At 37.0% G+C, this 4,164-nt stretch overlaps 1 annotated feature.

Moving 5' to 3' along the window:
* Nucleotides 2,080–2,309: an enhancer, noted in NCBI's record as "active region_23086". NCBI's record gives its function as "activates an Ori minimal core promoter by ATAC-STARR-seq in GM12878 lymphoblastoid cells {active_cell/tissue: GM12878}" and the evidence as "EXISTENCE:reporter gene assay evidence [ECO:0000049][PMID:35858748]".

Below are 4,164 nucleotides of genomic sequence, written 5' to 3' on the forward strand. Positions count from 1 at the left end.
TCTTTGACAAACCTGAGAAAAACAAGCAATGGGGAAAGGATTCCCTATTTAATAAATGGTGCTGGGAAAACTGGCTAGCCATATGTAGAAAGCTGAAACTGGATCCCTTCCTTACACCTTATACAAAAATCAATTCAAGATGGATTAAAGATTTAAACATTAGACCTAAAACCATAAAAACCCTAGAAGAAAACCTAGGCATTACCATTCAGGACATAGGCGTGGGCAAGGACTTCATGTCCAAAACACCAAAAGCAATGGTAACAAAAGCCAAAATTGACAAATGGGATCTAATTAAACTAAAGAGCTTCTGCACAGCAAAAGAAACTACCATCAGAGTGAACAGGCAACCTACAACATGGGAGAAAATTTTCGCAACCTACTCATCTGACAAAGGGCTAATATCCAGAATCTACAATGAACTCAAACAAATTTACAAGAAAAAAACAAACAACCCCATCAAAAAGTGGGCAAAGGACATGAACAGACACTTCTCAAAAGAAGACATTTATGCAGCCAAAAAACACATGAAAAAATGCTCATCATCACTGGCCATCAGAGAAATGCAAATCAAAACCACTATGAGATATCATCTCACACCAGTTAGAATGGCAATCATTAAAAAGTCAGGAAACAACAGGTGCTGGAGAGGATGTGGAGAAATAGGAACACTTTTACACTGTTGGTGGGACTGTAAACTAGTTCAACCATTGTGGAAGTCAGTGTGGCGATTCCTCAGGGATCTAGAACTAGAAATACCATTTGACCCAGCCATCCCATTACTGGGTATATACCCAAATGACTATAAATCATGCTGCTATAAAGACACATGCACACGTATGTTTATTGCGGCATTATTCACAATAGCAAAGACTTGGAACCAACCCAAATGTCCAACAACGATAGACTGGATTAAGAAAATGTGGCACATATACACCATGGAATACTATGCAGCCATAAAAAATGATGAGTTCGTGTCCTTTGTAGGGACATGGATGAAATTGGAAACCATCATTCTCAGTAAACTATCGCAAGAACAAAAAACCAAACACCGCATATTCTCACTCATAGGTGGGAATTGAACAATGAGATCACATGGACACAGGAAGGGGAATATCACACTCTGGGGACTGTGGTGGGGTCGGGGGATGGGGGAGGGATAGCATTGGGAGATATACCTAATGCTAGATGACGAGTTAGTGGGTGCAGCGCACCAGCATGGCACATGTATACATATGTAACTAACCTGCACAATGTGCACATGTACCCTAAAACTTAAAGTATAATAATAATAAAAAAAAAATTAATCTGTGTAATCCACCATGCTAAATGTATGAAGAGGAAAAATCTCTTTAGCTTTGACTGATGCAGATATCAATGCAGAAAACACATTTGACAGAATCCAATTATTGGGTATAATCTTTTTAAATGCTCAATAAACTACAAATAGAAGGGAACTCTTCAACCTGATCAAAGATAAGATTTACACCATTATAAAAGAGCAAGTTTGGGCTCCTTTTGCCTCTTTGCCCTTCCACCTTCTGTGACATGATGATGTAGCAGGTGCCTTACTGGCACCTTGATCTTGGACTTCCCAGCCTCCAGAACTATGGGAAAATAAATTTCCATTCACTATAAATTACCCAGTCTCAGGTATGCTGTTATAGCAGCACAAAACAGACTAAGATATATTCCTTATTGAACAGAAATGCAAAATCCTCAATAAGACATTAGTAAATTAAATCCAGGAACATATATAAAGGAGCATACACCATGACCAAATGGGATTATCCCAGGAATTTAAAGAAATTTAATACCCCATGCTAATAGAACAGAATAAAGGACAAAAACCATATGATTGGGCTGGGCATAGTGGTTCAAGCTTGTAAACTCAGCATTTTGGGAGGTTGAAGTGGGTGGATCACCTGAGGTCAGGAGTTCAAGACCAGCCTGACCAACATGGTGAAACCCCATTTCTACTAAAAATACAAAATTAGCTGGGCATGGTGGCACATGCCTGTAATCCCAGCTACTCGGGAGGCTGAGGGAGGAGAATCTCTTGAAGCCAGGAGGCAGAGGTTGCAGTTAGCCCAGATCACACCATTGCACTCCAGCCTAGGCAACAAGAGTGAAACTCCGTCTTAAAAAAAAAAAAAAATCATCTTACTAGGTACAGAAAAAGCATCTGACCAAATCTAATACCCATTCATGATTTAGCAAAAACAAAAATGAAACAAAAAAATTCTTTCAACAGGCCAGAAATAGAAGGGAATTTCCTCAACCTGATAAAAGGCATTTATGAAAAGCCTATAGTTAACACCATATTTGCCGGATGTTTCAGAACAATGCAAGGAAGTCATGTCTCACTACTTTTATTCAGCATTATACAGGGGGTTCTAGCCAGTGCATGAAGACAAGAAAAAGAAATAAAAGCCTCATAGATTGGAAAGGAAGATGTAAAACTGTTGCAGACAACAGGATCCTGTATATAGAAAATCCTAAGGCACTCACACACGAGAAAAAATTTACTACAACCATAAACAAGTTCATCAAGTTTTCAGAATAGTAAATCAATATATAAAATCAATTATATTTTTATATATGCTAGCAAATCAAAAATGAAATTAAGACAGTGATTCCATTCGTAATAGTATCGAGGAGACTACTTAGGAATAATACAACAAAAAGATACCAGATTTATACACTCAACTACAAAATGTTGATGAGAGAAATTAAAGAAGACATAAATAAGTGGAGAGACATTTCATGTTTAAAAATTGAAAGTCTCAATATTATTAAGTTGGCAATTCTTCCTAAATTAACACAATCCCTGTGAAAATCCCAGTAGGCTTTTTATGGAAATCAACAAGCTGATCACAAAATTCCTGTGAAAGAGATCCAAAATAGCGAAAACAATATTTAAAAAGAACGAAGCTGGAGGACTCACACTCATCTATTTAAAAGCCTACTATAAAGCTATAATAATCAAAACAGTGTGGCAGTAACATAAAGATATATTTATATGGAACAGAACTGACAGTACCAAAATAAACCTTCACATTTATAGTCAGTTCATTTTCAATAAAGATGCTGAGGCAATTCAATTGTATTTTCAACAAATTGTGCTGGGACAATTGAATATCTACATATAAAAAGAATTTATACACTTACCTCACATCATACACAAAAATTAATTCCAAATGAATAAAAAATGCAAGAGCAAATGCTATAAGATTATAAGATATTTAGAAGAAAACATAGAAGAATATTTTTGTGACCTTGGGTTAAGCACAGATTTTTTAGCTGCAGCACCAAAATCATAATTCATATGTGAACAATTAACAAATTGGATTTCAAGATTTAAAATGTTTTCTTATCAAAACACAACATCAAGAAAATGAGAAGTCAAGCCACAGATTGGGAGAAAATATTTGCAAATCCTATAATGGATAAAGGACTCATATAAAAAATGCCTTTCTTTCTTTCTTTCTTTCTTTCTTTCTTCTTTCCTTTCTTCCTTCCTTCTTTCTTTCTTTTTTCTTTCTTTCTTTCCCTTCCTTCCTTCTTTCTTTCTTTCTCTTTCTCTCTCTTTCTTTCTTTCTTTCTTTCTCTCTCTCTCTCTCTCTCTCCTTCCTTCCTTCCTTCCTTCCTTCCTTCCTTCCTTCCTTCCTTCCTTCCTTCTTTCAGATGGAGTCTCACTCTGTCATCCAGGCTGGAGTGCAGTGACACAATCTTGGCTCACTGCAACCGCCACCTCCTGGATTCAAGCAATTCTCCTGCCTCAGCCTCCGGAGTAGCTGGGACTACAGTCGTATGCCATCACTCCAGGCTAATTTTTGTATTTTTAATAGAGAGGGGGTTTCACCATGTTGGCTAGGCTGGTCTCAAACTCCTGACCTTAGTTGATCTGCCCACCTCGGCCTCCCAAAGTGCCGGGATTACAGGCATAAGCCACTGCACCCAGCCCACTTACAATTCAATAATAAGAAAAATAAACCCATTTTTAAATGGGCAAAAAATTTGAATCATCATTTTACCAAAGAAGATATATGAATGACCAATGTTTAAGTAACTCTTAGGAAGTCAGGAAAAAGCAATGAGAAATGAGAAAACAAAAGAAAACAAAAAATAAACTGGCAGACTCAAGCCATAATATATCAACCA

This window comes from Homo sapiens, chromosome 5, assembly GCF_000001405.40.
Source record: "Homo sapiens chromosome 5, GRCh38.p14 Primary Assembly".
Classification (NCBI taxonomy): Eukaryota; Metazoa; Chordata; class Mammalia; order Primates; family Hominidae; genus Homo; species Homo sapiens.